Here is a 24,057-nt window from a genome sequence, read left to right as displayed (position 1 = left end):
GTAATATTTGTAGCTGTCTTTTTGGTCTTTCTCGCTTCATTTTGCAGGTATGGCAAACATCTTTTCAAAATATGTGGGTTTCTGACTAACAAAACATTTGGAGGCTAATTGGTCATCTGGTGCCTATCCATCTTTCAAAAACCACAAAACTTAATGAGCTTAAAAATTGCAAAAGGTCTAGCCTTAACATTTTATCTGAGATGTGATAAAAGTGCGACTGATGATTTTTTTTTCTTTATTTCTTCTAAAATAAATGGGATACATGTGCAGAACGTGCAGATTTGTTACATAGTTATACATGTGACATGATGGTTTTCTGTACCTATTGACCTGTCCTCTAAGTTCCCTCGCCTGTCTCCCCACCCCACAACAGGCCCTGGTGTGTGATGTTGCCCTCTCTGTGTCCATATGTTTTCACTGTTCAACTCCCACTTATGAGTGAGAACATGCAATGTTTGGTTTTCTGTTCCTGTGTTAGTTTGGGGAAGATGATGGCTTTCAGCTTCTTCCATGTCCCTGCAAAAGACATGATCTCATTCCTTTTTATGGCTACATAGTATTCCATGGTGTATATGTACCACATTTTCTTTATCCAGTCTATCATTGATGGGTATTTGGGTTGGTTCCAAGTCTTTGCTATTGTGAATAGTGCTGCAATAAACATATGCGTGCATGTGTCTTTCTAGTAGAATGAGTTATATTCCTTTGGGTATATACCCAATAATGGGATTTCTGGGTCTAATGGTATTTCTGGTTCTAGATCCTTGAGGAACCGCCATGCTGTCTTCCACAATGGTTGAACTCATTTACATTCCCACCAACAGTGCAAAAGCATTCCTATTTCTCCACAGCTTCACCTGCACCTATTGTTTACTGACTTTTTAATAATCGCCCTTCTGACTGGCATGAGATGATTCTTTTAAAAGCAGTTTTCACAAAGAAAAATAAACATAATGTATACAAAAAAGGGCTAGAGAAGTAGAGAGTAATGATTTCTTAAACTCGACAATATTCCTGAATTTATTTTGAGTATCTCTGAGCATTGGAGAAAATTTCTTCCCAGCCTCACACCAATTATAATAAAATACCTTTTTGATTACAGGTAAGGATCACTGGAAATATTCATCTTATCAAACCCCACACCTTCGTGTGTAAAATGAGAGTGTTAGATCGTATCAATCTTCCATTCCCTTGCTCTCTCCCTCCCCAAGTATTAATGAGCATGTCAGGCTTGTGCTATGCACTGGAGCTATGTATTACATCACTGAATACAGCAGACCTGGTATCTGGACCACTGAAGACCTACAGCCTATGAAGGAAGGCTGACATTATCCACACACATATTTCAATTTCAATTGTGATAGGTAGTATAAAGAAGCAGTGCAGGGTAACACACACGCATTTAACAAGGAAACGTGACCTAGTTTGTGGTTGGAAGAGAAAGTCTTCCAGGCAGAGAGAACAATATCTGAAAAGGCCCTGAGGTGAGACAGAGCCGGTCAAGTCTGAGACATCAAGAACATGTGGGTGAAACAGAGAGCCACAGGGCAAGATCAGGCGGCAGAGCTGGCAAAGAGTCAGATCCAGGGGGTCTCTGAGACCACATTAAGGATTTGGGGACTTATTCTGAGAAAAAGGAAAAGTATCTAAAGATTGTAAGAAGGAGAGTGGTATGAATCAATTATCCCTGAGGTTGATTCCTACTCTAAAATTCTATATAAATCTATTTTTCTCTTATTATTTAAAAAATTGAAGTAAGCAGAACTAGCATGATTTTGCTATAGAGATGATAAATTGACATAGAACTCAGGTTAATAAATTGCAACTTTAGGCCAGGCGCGGTGGCTCACGCCTGTAATCCCAGCACTTTGGGAGGCCGAGGTGGGTGGATCACAAGGTCAAGAGATCGAGACCATCCTGGCTAACATGGTTAAACCCCGTCTCTACTAAAAATACAAAAAAATTAGCTGGGTGTAGTGGCGGGCACCTGTAGTCCCAGCTACTGGGGAGGCTGAGGCAGGAGAATGGCGTGAACCTGGAGGGCGGAGCTTGCAGTGAGCCGAGGCCACACCACTGCACTCCAGCCTGGGCGACAGTGTGAGACCCCGTCTCAAAAAAAAAAAAAAAAAATTAGCCAGGCGTGGTGGTGAGCGCCTGCAGTCCCAGCCACTTGGGAGGCTGAGGCAGGAGAATCGCTTGAACCAAAGAGGCGGAGGTTGCTGTGAGCCGAGATCCGTGCCACTGCCCTCCAGCCTAGTGACAGAGCGAGACTCCGTCTCAAAATAGATAAATAAATAAATAAATTGCAACTTTATTATTACATTGTTCAACTTAATTTAGCTTATTAGCCTCCATCCCTCAATTTCTAATGATGACAAGATAATTCAATCTTTACAACTCAAGGTAAACAGAGTCACTTCTTTAACCTTGATCTCTGTTTAGATCAACTCAGTCAATTCAGGTTGTTCGTTAGGATTCTTCCACAACTCCCATTCCCATCTGGTTTCCCTTTCCCTGTTTTATTGGACATCATCTATGGTTTCAAGGGCTCTTTCTATTGCCAGGTATCTGACCCAAGGATTTTGACTTTCCACATTGTGTGGAATTCATCTAGTCTCCTTTATAAAATGCTGACATTTTCTGCTGATGTCCTTCATCTTGCCACAACCCAGATCAAGTATGGATCGACCCCTTATCCTGATCCAGGCTTCTTTTTCGTACAATCCCCTTCCCCACACTTATGAGAACAGGGCTCTGAGTACCACCAGGCCTACTGTTAGAGCTGTTTCTCTCAGCTTTTGCTGTTCTGCTTCTAGATACGAGTCCTCCCAAAGAGATTTATAGTGTCACCAACCTACACATTCTGTGAGTCAAGACCAGCCCCTTCCACTCGCAGATTCCCCTAAACATATGTGTGTTTTTATTTACTCTCAAGCCCCACTCCCTACCCCACACTACCCAGACAATGATTCCAGGTAGCCTTTGAGTTCTAGTTTCATTCCCTCTGATCTTCCAACCACTGATCAAATCCGGCTTCATTTGAGTGGCACACTGCTTTCATGTCATTCACAGTCTTCCGTAGTCTGTGGCGTATTGTATAAACTCTGTGCTATGAATCCTCTAGGTTTTGCTCTTGATATTCAGAGCCCATAGTTTGGAATTCAAACAAAACAAAACAAAACTATTCTCTCTGAATATATTCCATCCCTTCCATCTCAGAAGAGCTTTGACTTTCAGACTATTGACTTTGCAATAGATTTATAAAAGTCTACCTGGGAGCTCAAAACCTAAGAATTGCACTCTTTATTCCCTTTAAATTATTTTCTGTGTTCCCTTCACTGGAGCAATATGCCTCAGCCTCTCAAACTAGTTCTATGGGTAGGAAGGTTCCAGGATACAAAGAAAAAAGAAATGTGAAAAGGATAAACTACATCTGATATTCTTTCAAAACTATAACAAAATACATAAAAAATAGGCACTAAGATAAGATAACAGATGGGAAGATTTGAGATTAGAAATATAGCCTCTTGTGCTAATTTGCAAAGGAATAGAAATAAACCATTTCAGCTTTTGTTTCCAGAATGAGGCTTCTCTTTTAATATGCTTACTCTTATAAATTTACAACAAAGATGCCACTTTTTATTGTAGGTCAGGAAATATAGAATTTTTACCTAGAACAATGAGTATCCTTGAATGCAGAATTCGCTCTCACAGGTTCATAGGAAGTAATTAGAATGACTTTCCTTATAGTTCTGGCACTCACAGAAACCAGATTCCAATAACAATCAAGGCATGTCTTTCCTTAAATACAAGGTATTTTCATATAAAATCAACTTATGTCAATGTGTTGTCTAAGACTTTGCCACTCAAAATACAGTGCAGGAACTACAAGCAGTCATCAACTGAGAGCTTGTTGGAAATGTAAGTTTTCAAGTTTCTCCTCAGATCTAATAAATTCGCATCTACATTTTAACAGAATGGATCCCCAAGTGAAGTGTCTGCACAAACTTTGAGAAGCACTAGCCTAACATATTACTCTCTTTGGTTTCTCTTCTACAATAAACAAATGGGACATTTTATTAAAGATAAATGTAACCAATGCAGTAATTAAAAGCTTTTGTCTGAAAATAAAAGGTAATGTTAATGCCATTGTCACACCTTGCAATGCTGATATATGTAGTTACCTAACAAGGTACAGCACTTAGTCACTGATAACCCAAAAATATAGAATATGAGTGAGACTAAACTATCTGTTCTTAATCTATTATTTCCATGCTAACATAAATTATATCAAATGCAGTGGCAAGACAGGGTCTGACTTGGTGGAACTGAATTACTCATTAGCACTCACTGTATCTGCTAACTAAATTGACTGCTGAGGCCTGAAAATTTTGGTGTCTTTAAATATTTTCCTGAGAAATTTCCTCATGATTTCTCTTGTATCTTGTCTGTGTGTGTGCACACATGCATGGGTTTAAAGCTATCACAAAACTGAATAGTATAAATAAAAGAAAAGGCATTAAAGAAAGGGTTATTTTCAAGACTTTAAAAATGTTCATTGGAATAATTCATACACTGATTGAAGTTGTGTTGATGAATATTACTTATTTGAACGTAATCATATTGATGATTGTACCATCAAGCACCTGAAACCATCTGCGGCATGTCTTTTCAGAATTCACAATAAAATCTTACTGTGATCATTTCCCATTCCACTCCCTTATGCAACAATGCATGGCTATGTCTCCAGAGCCAAAGTGAAATTGAGAGTTCAGCAATCATTCTGTAATTTCCAGTGCCAGGTATGGTCTTGGCCCTAGTGGATGCTTATAAATGTTTATTGATAATGATGTCTTATAAAGCTGCCACTATTTGCTATGAGTTACCCAGATTGCCTTTTGGAATTGTGCATGTTTTCTGAATAACTCTAAACTTCATTTTGATTCTTCAACCATGGCATGTCTGTCTATCTTGAATTCGTACTTCCAAACTGCTGTGGAATATCAAATTTTGAAGGCTTTATGTGCTATTCCACTTTCAGTCATCTAATTCTATCTATGAAAATAATATAATACTGATGAATTGCAAAGACCAAACTTCAAAATTCATTCTAAAGTATTTCTCAGGCAGAGGAAGTGGCTTGTTCCAAGCCATCTATAATTTCTTAGCTCTTGTAGTTGATGGCACATAATGGTGAGGCAGCTGGTTGGGTTGGAAATATAATAGAAGGCAATTCCACCACCATCACCATCCCTTTCATGAAACTTCCTGATCTAGAAAGAATGACAATACCTGCTGCCTATTTATGGTTTAGTGCCTACGATATGGTTTATCATATACCATGCTAGGTCCTTTTCATTTGCTACCTCAGTTACTCTTAAAAACACCTTATGAGGTAGGTGTTACTATCATCATTATTCATATTTTACAGATGAGGAAACTCACAACCAGGATTCAAAGCCAAGCTGTCCTGCTCCAAAGCCCACCTCTAAGTCTTTCATTACCATGAAAAACTAATATTGTTCCCTGACTGAAAATATCCCATCCAAACTTAAATAATACCGTTCAGATGAATATAATCAACCTTTATATGTCTGAAGTAGAAACCTACAAACATATATATCCTCAAAGAGACTTAAAAATTGAGCTGTTTCTGGGTCATAATTGCTATGCATAAAGTGACACACACCTGGTATGAAATATAAAATGTAAATGAAATAAGAATGACTATACCATTGCCACTGGATAATACCTAATCTCACAGACATCAATGCAAATGGCCAAATACACATGAAAGTAAGAATTTGTATTCTCTAAATCGGACATACATGTATTGTACATTCCAGTTTTAACCTACATATGCGGATGTCTACTGTTTAGACACACAAAGAATTATTCTTGCCTAAGAAAGTCTTTGAGACCCACTGAATTCAGAAGTCCACTTCAGGAATTTGTTCATTCCATGCGCATGGACATCATTATGGACTGAAAAGCTTATTAACTATAATCAAGAAGGTCCTTTTGGAATTATCTTTCTTAGCCTACTTCCAAGGGAAATCATTTGTGGTTTTCTTCAGGGCAATGGTTATCAACCAAGTGCGGAGACTCATCTTCAAATATTCTGGACTAAATTTACTATAATAATGATAACTGCTCTTTCGGTATCCTGATCTTTTTAACTGCTGTACATCTTTTCATCTATTTCCATTTCCCTTAGGTAGAGTGCAGGCTAAGAAATCATCAGACCCATTTTTCAATACTATATATCATCAGAAACAATTTTGATAATCATATTATTAGTGTGCGTAACCCCTACCTTCAGAACTCTGCTAAAAGAGTCACCTAAATGTCCTGCTCTTGTTCACATACTCTATTTATATCTGCAAATGTCAAAAATTCTAAATGAAGTCTATGAGCCTTGCTTGATAAAGCAAGATGGCTCTCTTTCGTAGCAAGCAAAAAATAGTTAATAATATCCTAGCACCTACTTAAAACTGATCTCTAAGATTCTTTAAAAAATATTCTTTAGTTAATTCAGGTGATGCACATTTGTATCCTGGTTCAGGAATAGTTTTTTAATGTATGATTATTTGGTAGAGAATATTAGATTTATTACCTTTGCTAATGAACACTTAGATAAAAGTGGTATTCTCAAGGTAAGTATTCTCAGAGATGAACTTATATTACCATATATTAATTTTCATTTTAGTTCAGAATTATATAAAGAATGAACCTAGTGGCTTTTACATATAGAAAATGGGACCCCTCCAAAGTACACTCTGCCATAATTTCCAAGTGTTCCTGTCACTTTTATAATGTCACATATCAATAGAAACAGAATTCATCATCATGGAAGAAATTTCAGAGCTTTCGAGAAGTACTGGATGAAACTAAAAGACACAGTAATTAAACCTCAGTTCTTTCAAATATGTGTTAGTCCTGTTTCAGTGGGACTAGGGGAGCTGACTTTAAGAGTGGTCAGTGAATTGGTTGATCTTTCCCTTTCGTGTATATTCTATATCCAAGAGTCCTTTACTTACCTGCTCCTGTTTTCACAGCAGCATTTAACATAATCGAATCCAATAGAGAATGCAATTCTTTTGTAACTCCAAGGTGCAGACTAATCAACTCTGCATCTCCAATATTGAGACAATGCCACAACTTCTCAGTGCCAAACAGTACCTGAAGGACCATAGAACTCACATTCTCTGAAGGATATTTCCTTTTTCTGAGGAATCTTGGGCAGAGGGTTATATTAGGAAGCTAACATAGCCATTATTTTAAGGAAAAAAAATTGACTTGATTATATAACTAACTAGAATTGAGCGCGGGAATAATTAAGTGCTTTTATGAACTTAAAGAACTATTGGTACCTTGACCATTATGTGCCATAAAAATGTATGCCAGGTATTTGGTGTTCTGGTAGACCTAGGAAATAACTTAGTACACAACATTTGCTACAATAGAGAAATGCACATGTACATAATTAATTAGCCTGTTTGTACTTAATAGTGTTTTTCTTCTGTGTATCTTTTTGAAAGTATCTCTTCAAATGGCTACTTTTGTAAAAGTAGCATTTAAAAAGTTGATCAAAATTAGCATTAAACATTTTAACTCTTTATTGTAATATACACACAGAAAAAACTCACAAAAGTATATAGCACAGCAAATTATCTATCACAAGGGAAAACCACCAATGTAAGAAATAAAATATCCAAGTCTCTCACTCCATGTTTCTTTTCAATAACTATCCCCTCCCTTCTTTCCAATGGTTTTGCAGTTTTTAAATATGTGCCCAAATTATTTGATAATCCTTTCTTCAAAAGGTGAAGCCTAATCCCCTCCCCACATGTGTACTGGACTTAATGACTTGCTTCTAACAAAGGGAATATGGCAGAACCAGCTGTGTTTGACTTTAGGGACTAGATTGCAAGAAGCATTATGCGTCCTTCTAACATGGGCTCTTAGATCACTAACTCTGGAGGAAGCCAGCTCTCATGGCAAGAGAACTCAGGCCGTGGCCCTATGAAGGTGCCCACATGGAGCAGACTTGAGGCTCTCTGCCACAGCCAGAAAGGCACTATGGCCTCCTGCCAAAAGCCCTGTGAGTGAGCCATCCTGAGATGTATTCCCCCACCCCAGTGAAATCTTCAGACAACTAAAGCTCTAGCGGGCATTTAGACTGAACTTCATGAGAGACTCTGAGCCATAACCACACAACTAAGCTGCCCCAAAGTTCTTGACTCACGCACACTGTAAGACGATAAATGTTTAGTGTTGTTTTAAGGCATTAAGTTTTGAAGCAATTTGTTTTTCAGCATTATAATGAATACAAAAGATGGCCACTTTCCTGACTGCTAACACTGTGGTTTAGTTTATCATGTTTTTGAATCTTCTATTAATGAAATCATTATTATTTTTTCCTTTGAATTTAACTTATTTCACTCAATATTCTGTTTTTTAGATTTATTCACATATCATGTGAAGCTGTGGTTCATTTATTTTCAATGTTGTATAATGTTCCAGTGATGATAAGTATACCAATATTTATTTATTATTTCTACTGATAACATTTTGTTAATTTTAAGCTTTTCACTATTATAAGTAATATTTCCATGAACAATCTGGTACATTTTTTGCTGTGTATGAAAGCATATTTTTATTGTATATATAACTAAGATTAGAATAATGGATCTCAGGATTTGCAGATGCTGAAATTTAGTTGTTAGTAACAAATATCTTTTTAAAATGGTTGGAAAAATTTACACTGCCATTAGTAGTATTTGAGAAATCCTATTGCTCTCTATCTTAGTAATTTATATCATCAGGAATACATATTTCATCACTTTTTCCAACTTAAAATTGATCCCATTAAGATATATGCAGATTCTAAGAAGATATAAGCAATACCTATATCTGACAGAGAACTTATACCAGAGAATATAAAGAATTCCTACAAATAAATATAGGAATGTAAATGAAAAAACAAACCTCAATTTTTTTAAATGGGCAAAATATTGGGAGATACTTTTTTTTTTTTTTTTTTTGAGATGGAGCCTCAGTCTGTCACCCAGGCTAGAGTGCAGTGATGTGATCTCGGCTCACTGCAACCTCCACCTCCCGGTTCAAGCAATTCCCTGCCTTTGCATCCCAAGTAGCTGGGATTAAAGGTGCCTTCCACCACACCCGATTAATTTTTGTATTTTTGGTAGAGACGGGCTTTCACCATCTTGGCCAGGCTGGTCTTGAACTCCTGACCTCATGATCCATCCACCTCAGCATTCTAAAGTGCTGGGATTACAGGCATGAGCCACCACGCCCGGCAGGAAGAGACATTTTTTAAAAGGGAATATCAAATAGCCAGAGACAATATGAATAAATGATCAACATCAATAGTTAACAGGAAGGAAATGCAAATTAAAATTACAATGACACACTTACCATATTATATACACCCACCAGCTAGGCTAAAATTCAAAAGACTGATAAAACCAAGTTTTTACAAGAATATTAAACAAATGAAACTCTTACACATTGCTGGTGAGTGTAAGGTGGTATAATTTTGTAAAACTATTTATCAACTTATTTGATATTTAAATATACACTTACCCTAGGTATTCTACTTATAGATATTTACAGTAGAGAAATAAAAACGTATGTCCACTTTTTAATTGCAGCTTCATTTACAACTTCCTGGGCTGGGCACAGTGGCTCACACCTGTAATCCCAGCACTTTGGGAGGCCGAGGTGGGTGGATCACGAGGTCAAGAGATCAAGACCATCCTGGCCAACATGGTGAAACCCCGTCTCTACTAAAAATACAAAAATTAGCCAGGCGTGGTCGTGGGCACCTGTAATCCCAGCTACTCGGGAGGCTGAGGCAGGAGAATCACTTGAACCCGGGAGGTGGAGGATGCAGTGAACCAAGATTGCACCACTGCACTGCAGCCTGGTGACAGAGTGAGACTCTGTCTCAAAAAAAAAAAAAAAAAAAACAAAAAGAAAAAGAAAAAGAAAAAGAAAAAAAAAGCCAAAAAAACAAAAACAATTGCCCAAAACTAGAAAAAAAAAATCAAACATCTATCACAAGACAATGGACAGATAAATTGTGATTTATTCATGCTGTGGAATACTACTCAACTATAAAAATAGCCAGTTTACACTGGGTAATGGGGACTTCAAGAGACAGTACAGACGTCCCCAGAAAATCCAACAAGGAGGTTCAGGACTCTTACCTTGTTCCAATCTGTCCAAATCTTTTGAGTTTCCTCTGACTCTGAGATACTGGCCCCTGTCTCCCTCTCCTGCCTCAGTTTCCTACACACACACATTTCCCACAGGTGTCCTGGCTCCTGCCCTTCAAGATGCACACAATTCCCAAAACATGTCATATATCCTTGTATCTCCCTACCTTTCCTGATGCACTTCCGTTCCATGGAACACTGATTCCTTTCACTTCTCTCTGGATCTTGGTTCTTCAAGATCTACAGGGAAAACAGCCAATTTACTGATATGCACAACAACATGAATGATTCTTAACACATGTTGAGTGAAAAAAGCCAGACACAAAATGAGTATAATTTCACTTATATAATATTAGAGAATAGACAAAATTAATCCATGGTAACTGTAGTCATTGGCTAGGTCTGCAAACACTACAGGTTGGATGGATTAAATAACAGAAATTTATTTTCTCACATTTCTGGAGGTTAGAAATTCAAGATCAAGGTGTCAGCAGGCTTTCTTTCTGAGGTCTCTTTCCTTGGCTTGCAGATGGCTGCTGGCTTTTTGCTATGCCCTCACATGGTCATTATTCCATCTATGTTAGCTGTGTCCTAATCTCCTCCTCTTCTAGTATTATATTTGAGCCCACCATGTGACCTCATGTTATCTTAATTCCTTTTTGAGGGATTCTATCTCCAAATACAGTCACATTCTGAGGTTCTAGGGATCACAAGTTCAATATATAAATTTGGTGGAGGTGAGGATTCAGCCCATAACAGGAACAGAAGTCAGAATAGTAGTTATCTCATTGCTGAGAGTGCGGACGGGAGGAAAGAGGCATTAGGGAACATTTCACGGTGCAGGAAGTACTCCATATCATGATTTGAATGGTGAAAATATGTGTATACATATGGAAAAATTAATAGAATTTTACTTTTTTTTTTTTTTTTTTGAGATGGAGTCTCACTCTGTCGCCCAGTGGAGTGCACTGGAGTACAGTGGCGCAATCTCGGCTCACTGCAACCTCCACCTCCTGGGTTCCAGCGATTCCCCTGATTCAGCCTCCTGGGTAGCTGGGACTACAGGCATGCACCACCACACTGGGCTAATATTTGTAATTTTAGTGGAGATGGGGTTTCATGATGTTGGCCAGGTTGGCCTCCATCTCCTGACCTCGTGATCCGCCCTCCTCGGCCTCCCAAAGTGCTAGGATTATAGGCGTGAGCCACTGCACCCCGCCTATTTTATTTTTTTTAAACAGAGTCTCGTTCTGTCACCCAGGCTGGAGTGCAGTGGTGTAATCATCTATCACTGCAACCTCTGCCTCCCAGGTCCAAGGGATTCTCCCACCTCAGCCTCCTGAATATTTGGGATTACAGGTGTGCATTACCAGACCTGGCTAATGTTTGTATTTTTAGTAGAGACAGGGTTTCACCATGTTAGCCAGGCTGGTCTTGAACTTCTGACACCAGACGGACAACCCGCCTCAGCCTTCCAAAGTGTTGGGATTACAGGAGTGAGCCATGATGCCCGGCCAATAGAATTGTATGTTTTTGTGTGTGTGTTTTGTTTTGTTTTTTGTTTTTTTTGAGATGGAGTCTCACTCTCTCACCCAGACTGCAGGGCAGTGGCACGATCTTGGCTCAATGCAACCTCTGCCTCCAAGGTTCAAGCAATTCTCCTGCCTCAACCTCCTGAGTAGCTGGGATTACAGGTGCCTGCCACCATGCCTGGTTAATTTTTGTATTATTAGTAGAGATGGGGTTTCACCATGTTGGTCAGGATGGTCTTGAACTCCTGACCTCATGATCCACCCACCTTGCCCTCCCAAAGTGCTGGGATTACAGGCATAAGCCACTGCGCCCAGCCAGAATTCTATGTTTTAGAATAGTGTATCACTTAACATAATGTAGGAATTACTCAAGAAAACATAATTAAAGCTACTTTCAGTATTGTGATGGATAGAATTTCTGAGATTATAGTTATGGTGTCTTGATATTCCATGTTCAATGAAACACTGATACCTCTTCATTAACTTTAACACTACCAGATGTTCATTCGTAAAACAAATATTTATTGAGAATCTACTAGGTGCTATGAGTTGGGATGTAAATATAAAGGCAGCTTCCACAAGTGTTGCAATATTTAACTGGAAGAATTTGGAAGAACCTTACTTTCTTTTCCTCATCCAAATTCGCACTATTCTTACCTCTTGAAAGTGGGGGAAAGGCCTGAGGCGGTGGTTCACGCCTGTAATCCCAGCACTTTGGAAGGCTGAGGTGGGTGGACCACGAGGTCAGGAGATTGAGACCATCCCGGCCAACATGGTGAAACACCATCTTTACTAAAATACAAAAAATTAGCTGGGCTTGGTGGCGTGTGCCTGTAGTTCCAGCTACTTGGGAGGCTGAGGCAGGGGAATTGCTTGAACCTGGGAGGCAGAGGTTGCAGTGAGCTGAGATCCCACCACTGTATTCCAGCCTGGGCAACAAAGCAAGACTCCATCTCAAAAAAAAAAAAAAAAAAAAAAAAAAAAGGCGGGGGTAAAATTTCATCAAAAATAAAACATCAGTTTCTTTTTTCTTTTAATAAATGTGTAATTATTTTAAAATATTAAATGTTTCTAAGGTAAGAAGAAAGGGAAATATGCTGTAAAACTTTTTTCCTAAATCATATATTTGTTTAATGATATGATAATTTAATATCATCAGACTTAAAGGAGATAATGTTTTATGTTGAAAAAATGCTTTATAATCTATGTAATTAATAGTGTCCATGCAAGTTCTTATTCGAATGGTAAATTAAAGGACTCCACATCTGTATTTTGCCTGGAGTTGAATATTCTTTATTAAGTTCAAACAAATGGAGCCCAATAAGGTACTGGTAAATTATAACATAGCAGATAAGTAATTTATAATATGACCTTCTTAAAATTCTTCCCCACACATGTATTACTGTTTCAAAGGCAGGTGATGTGTCCCACAGACTCTTAGTTATGTGTAATATAACTAATATATATATTAAACATAATATAAATAGTTATGACAAATAGGAAAAGGAAAACAGCTGATATAAAAATACATTAGCCCAGCCAGGCGAGGTGGCTCACGCCTGTAATCCCAGCATTTTGGGAGGCCGAGGCAGGCGGATCATGAGGTCAGGAGATCGAGACCATCCTGATTAACACGGTGAAACCCCGTGTCTACTAAAATACAAAAAAATTAGCCAGGCGTGGTGGCGGGCGCCTGTAGTCCCAGCTACTCGGGAGGCTGAGGCAGAAGAATGGCGTGAACCGGGAGGTGGAGCTTGCAGTGAGCCAAGATCGCGCCACTGCACTCCAGTCTGGGAGACAGAGTAAGACTTCATCTCAAAAAACAAAAGAAAAGAAAAGAAAAGAAAACGACAGGATTCAAGGATGACTCCAAAACATTTGAGCTTAGGAACTGGATGAATTTTTACTGAGATGGGAAAAAGTAAAGGGGGAAAATAGTAAACAGACGATGGAAATCAAGAGTTTGGCTACAGACATCCTAACTAGTAAAGGCCTATTAGATATCAAAGGAGTGGTATTAAGTAGAAAATGTGATGCATAAAAAAATGAAGCTTAACATGAATGTCCCAAACTGGAGATTATGTATATAGGAGTCATTATGTTTTATTAGATTCAAAGTCTCAGGACCAGAGGAGATTGCCCAGCAAGTGAGTCTAGTATTCAAATTCCTTTCAGCTAATCGCATCTCTTCCCTTCTATGCCATGCAGTTGGAAAGATATTGAACCCAAACTGAAATTCCTTGGCTTGTGCAAATCAGAAATCCCATCTGTTTAGCTAACCAATGAATTCAGAGATGGATCATGATCTGACTTTGGCTATGAGAAAAGATAAAATTCAGAGAAAAAATTTTCTTGATTTTCTGTAAAAGCTACCAGAAAAGAAGTACTCTTTAGAAGAAAGCCTGTATTAAGAAAGTAAAAGAAACTAGCTACTCAGGATAGTCAGTGATCAACTATCAGCTGAAGCCAGCGTATCTCTGAACTTTTAATATGAGAGAACCAATAAGCGTCTTAACTCAAGCAGATGTTTTAGTTGTTTTTGTAAAGTTTTAAAAGCATCTGAGACCAGAAATAGAAAGGTAAAAAGGAAAGGAGAGAGACAGGAAGGGAGGGAGGAAAGAAGGGAGTTCTTCAGTCTGAGGAGTACAAAATAAAAATAAACCAGAGGAATTTATTTGTTCACTCCCTAAAGGGGCTGTTCCAGGTATTTCTTGCATAACCTACTAATGTCACCAGGTAGGAAGGAATCTTTAGAAATTTGATCCCCTCCAGTGGTTAAGATACCTACCAAAAAAGATCTCACACTTCTCCATTTTACACATTAAAATTGACACCAGTGAAATGAAAGTTGGTTGCTTGATCAATGTTGCATTATTTTACTGCTACCAGGTACCACATTGTCAGAACCCTAATAGCCCTACTGTTGAAACTCACTTCCTCAAGTCACTTTGAAAAGAGTGATCAAGGCATTCTAAGGCTTCTAAGAATCCAGTTAGTCCATGTGAGGGAAAATTTGTTATTGTTGTGTTCTGAAATCTCAATGAATAAGACCATGGACTTTGTTGGGCTTCTTTATCAGGGTAGTGTACTCAGCTGTTCTTTTCAGAAGATCAGTAACGATACCATTTAAAATATTTCTTCAATCCATTTTCAACTAAAGCATAACAACAGGCATTTCCTAGTACCAGAATTTTAAAGAAATTCTCTGAACAAAAAGAAACCATTCCAATTAATGTGGCATTAATTCTGCTTTGAAGGAATGGGAAGAGGACTGTAGGGTTTATTTTTCCCTAGACTGTCTATGCTGTTCACCTGGACTTTGCCTTAGTGCTTGGCAAATGCAGGAAGAATAATTGAGGATTATGTTTATCCTTTCTGTTGACATCTGGAAAAAACCCCAGGCAAAAGTCAGCAGCCATTAATTCAAATAAGTATAGTTCCCTTGACAATGCAGTTGAACATCTTTCTTTTCCTAAGATGTAAAGTCTCCTTCTAATCCATCATGTTTTTACCTCATCTAAGCCTTGCCACATAACTTACATGTTGGAAAGTTGTTCAAATAATATTGTAAGTACTTCCTTAATTTCTAATAAAAGTGTAGTTATTAAAAATAATATTTTTCAACAGCTCAATGTGGGGTAGCTTCACACATCAGAAACACCTGCTAGCTACCTCTACAAATGCCTTACTTTCTAACATTGTATATTTTAAATATTCCTATGTATTACTCATTAAATATTCCTAATTGGTATTTGTTATTCAAATGAACTTCAAAGCTCTAGATCTTCCCATTCTTAAAGAGCAGGTAGTCTGGTATACATGAAATTCAAATCAAATTCAAATATTTTTATTTTTTGTTTGTTAGTTTCGGCAAGCAATGTTCATTTGTATTTGTGACTAGCAACTTCTGGCTCCTGCCTCCTAAAAAGGCAAAATGGTCTGACCACCAAGACTGTCAGAAACAACTTTGAAGTGCTTTTGACAAATTTCTTATATCTCAGCTGCCTGCTGTGTGAAAGAGCAGAGTATTCAAAGCATACCAAAAAAAAAAAAATTAAAAAAAAGAGAGAGAGAGAATTTTAAAAGATGTAAAATAATTACCACAGTAGCAACTTAATTGCATTTGGGTAGTCACATTTTACTAGAGCTATTCAAACAGTACTTTAAGTCATAATTCCTTTGTCCTAAGACCTTACATTTTAGTCATTTTTAATAAGTATGTCATGTTTTGATCTTTTTCCTTCTTAAAAAAAATTTGTTCCAATGTACATTGCTTACATGGTATGGATATTGCTGAGAAAGTTTATTATTTGTCTTCATTGTAATGTTTTAAGGTACAGCAAGTGGTGGCACACACTCAACAACTAGTGAAGTCTCTGACAGCATAATTAAACATGTCTTTCCCAAGATTTCTTGAGAAACCTCAGATTGGTAAGCCCTAGTCCCACGGAGAAATATTTCCTACTGCACTATCAATAAATCCCGCATCATAATTGAGGAACCCATCTGCAGTTCTCTAGGAGCACTGCGTTTGCTGCTGCTTAGTGCAAATATTCATTCATCACATATTATGTGTGTGTGATTTATTTTGATCTATTCCTAATTACTGAATTTTTTAAAGGCATCTTGAAATATCCCTAAATACACACACAGGCAGGTGACTTAACCTCTTTTCTCATTTTTTTCTTCATTGTTGCTTTTGTCTTAGCTGGATGTCCTTCTATCTTAAAGTAGATTTTTTTTTTTTGAGACAGAGTTTTGCTCTGTTGCCCAGGCTGGAGTGCAATGCAGTGACCTCGGCTCACTGCAACCTCAAAGTAGGTGTTTTGTTCAAAGATGTCAATACCCAGTAGTCTATCCCATCATGCCAGAAGTCATTTTCCATAAACAGAGAATAAAATGACTTGAAGGGTAAAAAGAAAGAAAGAATAAGAGAAAACAAGCAAGCAAGAAAGAAAGAGCACCGTTTTATAATCATGGTTTGACACTGATTCTGTTGAATTTATAAAATTGCTGAACTTTGTCTGGGCACGGTGGCTGATGCCTGTAATCCCAGCATTTTGGGAGGCCAAGGCGGGTGGATCACCTGAGGTCAGGAGTTTGAGACCAGCCTGGCCAGCATGGTGAAACCCCGTCTCTACTAAGAATACAAAAATTAGCTGGGCATGGTGGTGTGTGCCTGTATTCCCAGCTACACGGGAGGCTGAGGAAGGAGAATCGCTTGACCCCAGGAGGCAGAGGTTGTAGTGAGCTGAGATCACGCCACTCTCCAGCCTGGGCGACAGAATGAGACTCCGTCTCAAAAAAAAAAAAAAAAAATTGCTGAACATTATTGTTAGGAGTCCTCTGATAACCCAAAGGGATCTTCATTAACCTGAATGATCAGACAGACAAAAAAAAGTAGTAGACAATGTAATTTAGCTCTTTGCCACGTTTTTCTCGTCATTGCTGAAGGCACCACATTCTGACATAGTGTAAAAGAAAAAAAAATGGAATGTGAATTTCAAGTGAAGAAAACTAAAACACTATGGTATTAAATATTCACTTATGGTGTTTACATCAACAAAACTAAGTGCTCTGGGTTAGTTTGAAAGGAAATTCATATTGGGGTGTGGTATTTGATTTTAGGCTCATAACTGCACATTGGAACAATGAAAGACATTTTCTTCCCATGAAAAATTGTACCTGAAAGACTGATACTGAAGTACTACAGAGAATTTAGGAAATTGGCTTGAGTTATTTTTGTTATATTCCTTCAAAATTTTGATATTATAGCTTATGCTGTATTTAAAATAGTGTAATTCCTATTTTTAAAACAAAATGACACAACTTTGTTTTCTCTATCCCATAAACATTACTTTTCTAGAGGATTTGAGCCACACAGCTATAGATTTATATTTAGATTTGACAGATTTAGAGTATGTGGTGTTTAATTTCTAGAGAGGGATGTGCCATGTGATGAATAGGACTGGGAACCTTAAATATGTTCCCGAATCCAACTTGGATGTTGACAAGGCCTGGATTAAGAAATGTATCTTCCTTTAGAGTTTTCCTTTCTCAGGTAAAAAATCATAATAGCTCTCCAGTTTAGAGGTGACTTTAATGCTTTTATTTATTATTTGTTTATTTATTTATTTATTTTTGAGACGGGGTCTTGCTGTGTCTCCCAGGCTGTAGTGCAGTGGGGCAATCATAGCTCACTGCAGTCTTGAACTCCTGGGCTCAAGCAATCCTCCTGCCTCTGCCTCCTGAATAGCTGGGACTACAAGTGTGGCACCACACCTGGATAATGCTTTTAAATTTTTAGAGTGAGTAAATGCTTTTAAGAAAAAATATATCATATGCACACACACATACATACACATAAAATGTGACAAAGAGGTGAATCTATACCTAGGGCTATACATAAAACCAGATGCTGCAGCATGTTTAAAAATTGAACTCTGAAATCACACTGCTTAAGTTCAAATCAGATTTCTAAGCATTACTTTATGGTGACCTTACACAAGTTACCTAACTTTTCTGCAACCTCATTTCCTTATATGAAAAAATTTCCATGTCCCATATAAGTTGTTTTGAAGGTGAAAAATGTTAATATATGTGAAAGCACTTAAAACAGTGCCCAGCTTATAGTCAACACTACATGCAAATTTTAGCTATGATTGTCATTGTACTAATGCACATGGAGCAACTTAGTTACCCCACTAGAATATAAACTTAAGCTATCAGACAATCTAGATAAAAAATATAAATAAAAAATAAAAGCAGTAAGATTGTATGCTTGTCTTCATCCAACGAAATTACTATTACAACTTTAATGTATTACTTCTGCTATACTTATATCTTCTATAAATGTTCTAAAATTTATCAAATTCTATCACTTCATGTGTTCTTTACTGTTTTGCTTCCAACAAACTACCCTCCCCCCTAAAAAAGAAAATAAAATGAATTGCTAGGAAGCTTAATCATCGTTATCTAAATGATTTCTATGTCTGAGTAGGGTTGATAAAATAAGACCAATGTGGCTGGGCACAGTGGCTCACACCTGTAATCCCAGCACTTTGGGAGGCTGAGGCGGCTGGATCACGAGGTCAAGAGATCAAGACCATCCTGGCCAACATGGTGAAACTCCATCTCTACTAAAAAAATAAAAAAATTAGCTGGGCATGGTGGTGCACACCTGTAGTCCCAGCTACTTGGGAGGCTGAGGCAGGAGAATCTCTTGAACCCAGGAGGTGGAGGTGAGCCGAGATAGCACCACTGCACTACAGCCTGTCAACAGAGCGAGACTCTGTCACACACACACAAAAAAGACCAATGTCATTAAGCCATCTCATGCTTAGAACTACATGCTTAGTTCAACAAAATTAGAACTACAGGAGCTAGAGTAAATACATCTGCTTTATTTTTGAAGAAGTATTATTAAATGTATACAAAGTCTTATGGAGAAGGAGCCTTGTTGGGAGTGTAAACCTGAGCTATATGATTTGGAGGATAAATATAAATGTAAATTCTGTTATTCAAGTAGAAACATGGGTATCAGGATGTGATTTACCCTTAGATATTATGTTACTAAACAAGTATCAATTTTTAAAGCTAAAAACCCAAACCCATAAAAAGCATAAACATTTCCAATTTTTCCTGCAGCAGAGTATCTTTCAGAGTTTTGCTTTATATACTAGTCATAGTGGTATACATATATTTACTGGTTTATTAGGACATCTCTGGTCAGGTCTTCCTAGTATGCTTATACTGGGAATTTTATATTATTATTATTACTTGCAACCAATCCCTACATCTGCAAGCATGGAGTTGTAAGACCAATACCTTTTCCTGAACAAGTTAAAAAATACAAAACTTGTTTCAGGGCTTGGCAACTATCTTGGCATTTAGCTTTCAATTCAAATGTGATTTTTATGTTAACATATATATTGGAATTGAAATGTTCAGTATTTAGTTGATTTTAAAAGTCAGAAATTTACTAACCCATTTACTACTTATCCAATTATATAAAACATGCCTTTTTTTTTTTTTTTTTTTTTTAATTCTGAGTCTCTCTCTGTCGCCCAGGCTGGAGTGCAGTGGCACGATCTCGGCTCACTGCAAGCTCCGCCTCCGGGGTTCACGCCATCCTCCTGCCTCAGCCTCCTGAGTAGCTGGGACTACAGGCACATGCCACCACGCCCAGCTAATTTTTTTTGTATTTTTAGTAGAAAAGGGGTTTCAGCGTGTTAGCCAGGATGGTCTCGATCTCCCGACCTCGTGATCTGCACGCCTTGGCCTCCTGAAGTGCTGAGATTACAGATGTGAGCCACCGCGCCCGGCCTGAAGTTTTAGTTCAATATCTTTCTGAGATTTGAAATAAAAATATATTATTTACCAAAATAATCTCAAATATGTTACTATTTTAGAAAATATCTCATTATAAGTACCTGTTAAAGTTGTAATTTTTTAGGCAACAAAATTCATTCAAATAAGACTCAAAATTTTAATATTATCATAGAAAAGAGAGACTATTTCCAAAATCTTGGACAAAGAACAATTCCCTCTATCAGAGAACATTATCTTCATCTATTTTACTCTACTAAACAGCTTGGTGGAAAGAGATGAGAGTGAAGAGTGGCCATAAAAAAGAGATACTCTTTCAGCCAGCTAGTAAGTTAAAATCGTGTATTTATTTGAGCACCAAAGTGAAGCCATATTGCCCTGCTATCTGACCTAACTTTGAATATATACATAGAACATGTATTTTAACTAATAGAAAATCCAGATGGGTCAGCAGTTAGAAGGCTGGGCAAACACTCAAAAGGTAGCAGGGACCTAGTTGTCAAAATCAAGTTGATAAGTAAAATTCTAGTAATTTGAAGGTAAAAGGAGAAGGGAGAAGGGAGACTGCCAAGAATCCAGCCCTTCATGGGCACTGCATGAGGTCCAAGACAGAAATGCAGGCATGTAGGAAAATAAAATTCAGATAAGGACTGGAAAAATATCTTCCAAGATGATTTAATGGTAAGTCTCAAAAATTAGACCTCTTTAAATACCTGCTACCCAAGGTAAGGAATAGACTGTAGATAGCAACGAAGCTACAGCTATGGGTGAAGGTCAAATGGCGCCAATTTGAGAAAAACTTCAATGTCTTTTGACATCCTGGAATGGAAAGCTTGCTTGGCAGAATACTACTCAATGGAAAGAATACTAGCAGCATCTAGTGGCTGGCCTCTGTAAGTGCCCCTGGGCCTAGGTCCTAAGGTAGAAAAAGTGAGATCGTAAACATGGTGAGCTATTGATAGACTTTAATGTATTTCTTATTTCTAGGAGAATGACAGTAGAAGTAAGGGCAATTGTCTACACTACCACTTTCAAAGTATCATGGGAAACATAAAGAAGCATAAGGTATTCAAATAGTTTAACAGAACTCTGTTCCTGCTATAATTTACTCTGTTAGACCAAATCAGCAAAGTATGGCTGAGCATACTTACCTTTTCATATTTTTTATCAATCTACATATAGCATTAAAGTAATAAATAATTAATTTAGAAAGAATAACCTATGACATAATTCCTGTGCTCAAACTACATATGGTTATAGAGCCTGCTTGGATTCTACTTCCAGATCTACAACTGGTATTTTTCACTTACTTATTGCTGAAGTAGTCTCCATATTGTAATATTACATGGAAGAAGGATTTTCTTACTGTTTGGTATTTACCGTTTTAAATTATTTACGCTTAGTGATCAATATATGATTTTGATCAAAATCAAATGGTGATCAACATGATTTATCCTAAATGTTCTGAGAATCATTAAGACAAATTATTTGGTAGAAGTATTCTATTGAAGAAACAACTCTATGACAATTTTGCCAAATATCTGGGCATGATAGGGCATCAGTGTAGTTTTTCAAAGGAATGCACATTTAACAAAATATCAAAAGGATCTTAAGTGGATGGAAGAATCTTCTAACAAAGGAGTGTTAGATAGCTGAAAAAAATCAGTTAATTAAGCTCCCCTTTAAAGATAGAAAAGAAATAGAAATTACTTGAATTTTCATTTACTTGGCTGTTTTTAAAATATTAACAAGTCAGTTAAATCTCACCTCTAACTGCTATATTAGAATTTAGCTTTGATAAATAAGGATCATTCTTTTTCTGAATGCAGCAGAGTTGCAAGTTTCTTGTTAAAGCCTTTTAGAAGGTAGTTTTTTTTTTTTAATTCACAGCTCACTTCTCTTCTTTTCTTAATTAGTAGCTTGAATGTGATTTTCCCTTTTTAAAATTGAGCAGGCTGTGTTGCTAAATGGTGTTTTTGACATTCCTGCACTGGGGACAGATTCAAAACAGAGGCAGAAGACAATAGAGATTGACTACATACTTCATGGACCCAAATCGAGGCAAATGCTGGTAATTACAGGAATTCAGCAACACTTTGTTTGCTGGCATCTGTACTTGGAAAAGCAATGAAATAATCATGGACAAATATGATGTGAAATGTGTTTATGGAGCAGCATGTTTTATTAACACTGAGCACTGCGGAGAGATAAGCACCACTTGCTAATTTTAAAATTTCTATGAACTGTGGCAATTAAGCCTAATAATTATTTAAAGACTATAATAAAGATGAGACCATTTTGAACTGCGTTTAGAGAAAAGAAAAAGTGCTCAAGTTCAGTTTGTATGATACATCACCTATGCAATTTTTCCTATCTGTTATGATTTGAAATGGGAAACATTTCCTGACACATTCCCCTGAAATTTAAGGATTTATCAGTTTTCATTTTGCTGCTTTGTTAATTTTTTCTTGTTTTTGTTGTTGTTGTAACTATTTACTGGGAGTCTTTTGTACCTAGATGTTAATTTTATAGAGTGTTTCCAAACATTCTGGGGGCCATCAGAAAACAATAGGTCTAATTGAATAAAGCATTAAATATATTAACTTTTTCTTTCAGAATAGCAATTTTTCCACTTACAGATTATAATAAATAACAACAGGAAAGGCAGTGATTTTTCTGAGTCCTTTAGTGGCAAACTATTTCCAAAGTTTCAAAGAGACTTGTTAGAGCCCTGGGCAGAGTACAACACTGTCTTTCACTGTGTTAGCCCAGTGATAACAAAAACAGACTGGACATCAAAGCAACCAGAACGAACGCTGCAGGATTTAAAACACAAACAGACAGGAAATTGAATTACTGATCATTAATATTTATTTTAAAGAAAAGTTTAATATATTTCGCTTAATTTCCTGTGGAGAAAACAAAACATTTTATTCTCTCTTTTTGCCCCTCCATATTCTTATGCTATCCTTTGCAATTCGTTGTCATTTCTTGAGTTATTTTAAAAGATAAACTTGCACATTTTACTTTGCAGCATAATAAAATTAACGAATAGCTATGTTCTGAGTATAAACAAGGGAATGCCAAGGTTCATTCATCTCTCTTCTTCCCTCACAAAATAAGTTTATTATGGCATTTATACTGAAAGAAAATCATTTCTTTGGCACAGAAAAGGGATGCTGCCAATAATTACTTCTGAATCAGATTTCTGTCAATAGAAATGGAATATGATTGCCCCACCATCACCCCATAACAACAACAACAACAACAAAACCAGATGAGTTGATTAGCAACCCTGTGTCTATTGATTACATTCTTCTTGAACTGTCAGCAAGATCATTCCAAAATGTTGGTACGTATTCCCTAGTTGCAAAAGCAAATTCTGTAAAAAGGAACACGGAAAAACGGATTGTGTCAGTAGCGTATTTTCAATGCCTCTCTTTTTTATTTGCACTCACATAGCTGAAGAGGAACAGAGCTGGCTTTGGGCAGAAAGATGAAGTAGGAAATTTACACCCAGCTTTTTTCTGTGGTCTCTAATCTTCCTGAGTTGTGAATTTATCCCACTTCCAAACCTCCAATCCCTCACTGCCCCCACCCTCAACACATATACTTCAAACTCTCCTCTTTGTTTTAAAGTTAAAGGCTTAGAGCAATTTTTGACTCCCAACACAAATGATTCTAAGTCAAAAACTGATTTTTCCTGAGACGTGCATTTTAATTCAAATTTCTGTTTGTGGAATATAAAAATCATGTCCGGTTAGAGACAGGGAAAGGTGAAGTTATTGTTCAAAGACAAAAAGGTAAAGCTCAAAGTGGGAATAGGTTAGATTTCTGGGATGAAGTTCAGGCAGGTCTTTTTGTTTTGCCAAAAAAAATTTTACCAGCCACCTCTCAGACTGATTCTGAAGGCAAGCTTAATTCAGTTGTATCAGAGAAATGGGGAAAAAAAA

The 24,057-nt window shown here is 37.2% G+C and overlaps 1 long non-coding RNA gene across 1 annotated transcript in view; it reads right to left on the bottom strand.

Moving 5' to 3' along the window:
- The window catches only part of LOC105379107 (uncharacterized), a 339,090-nt gene that overhangs the window by 116,676 nt on the left and 198,357 nt on the right, over window positions 1-24,057 (bottom strand). Inside the window, exon 3 of the long non-coding RNA XR_001742831.2 lies at window positions 10,412-10,484. This is a non-coding gene — a long non-coding RNA (uncharacterized LOC105379107). The remainder of the gene's footprint in view (window positions 1-10,411; window positions 10,485-24,057) is intronic.

The sequence above is a fragment of the Homo sapiens genome, chromosome 5, assembly GCF_000001405.40.
Source record: "Homo sapiens chromosome 5, GRCh38.p14 Primary Assembly".
Lineage (NCBI taxonomy): Eukaryota > Metazoa > Chordata > Mammalia > Primates > Hominidae > Homo > Homo sapiens.
Note: the sequence above shows the minus strand (reverse complement) of the source record. Positions and strands in the feature narration are given on the sequence as shown.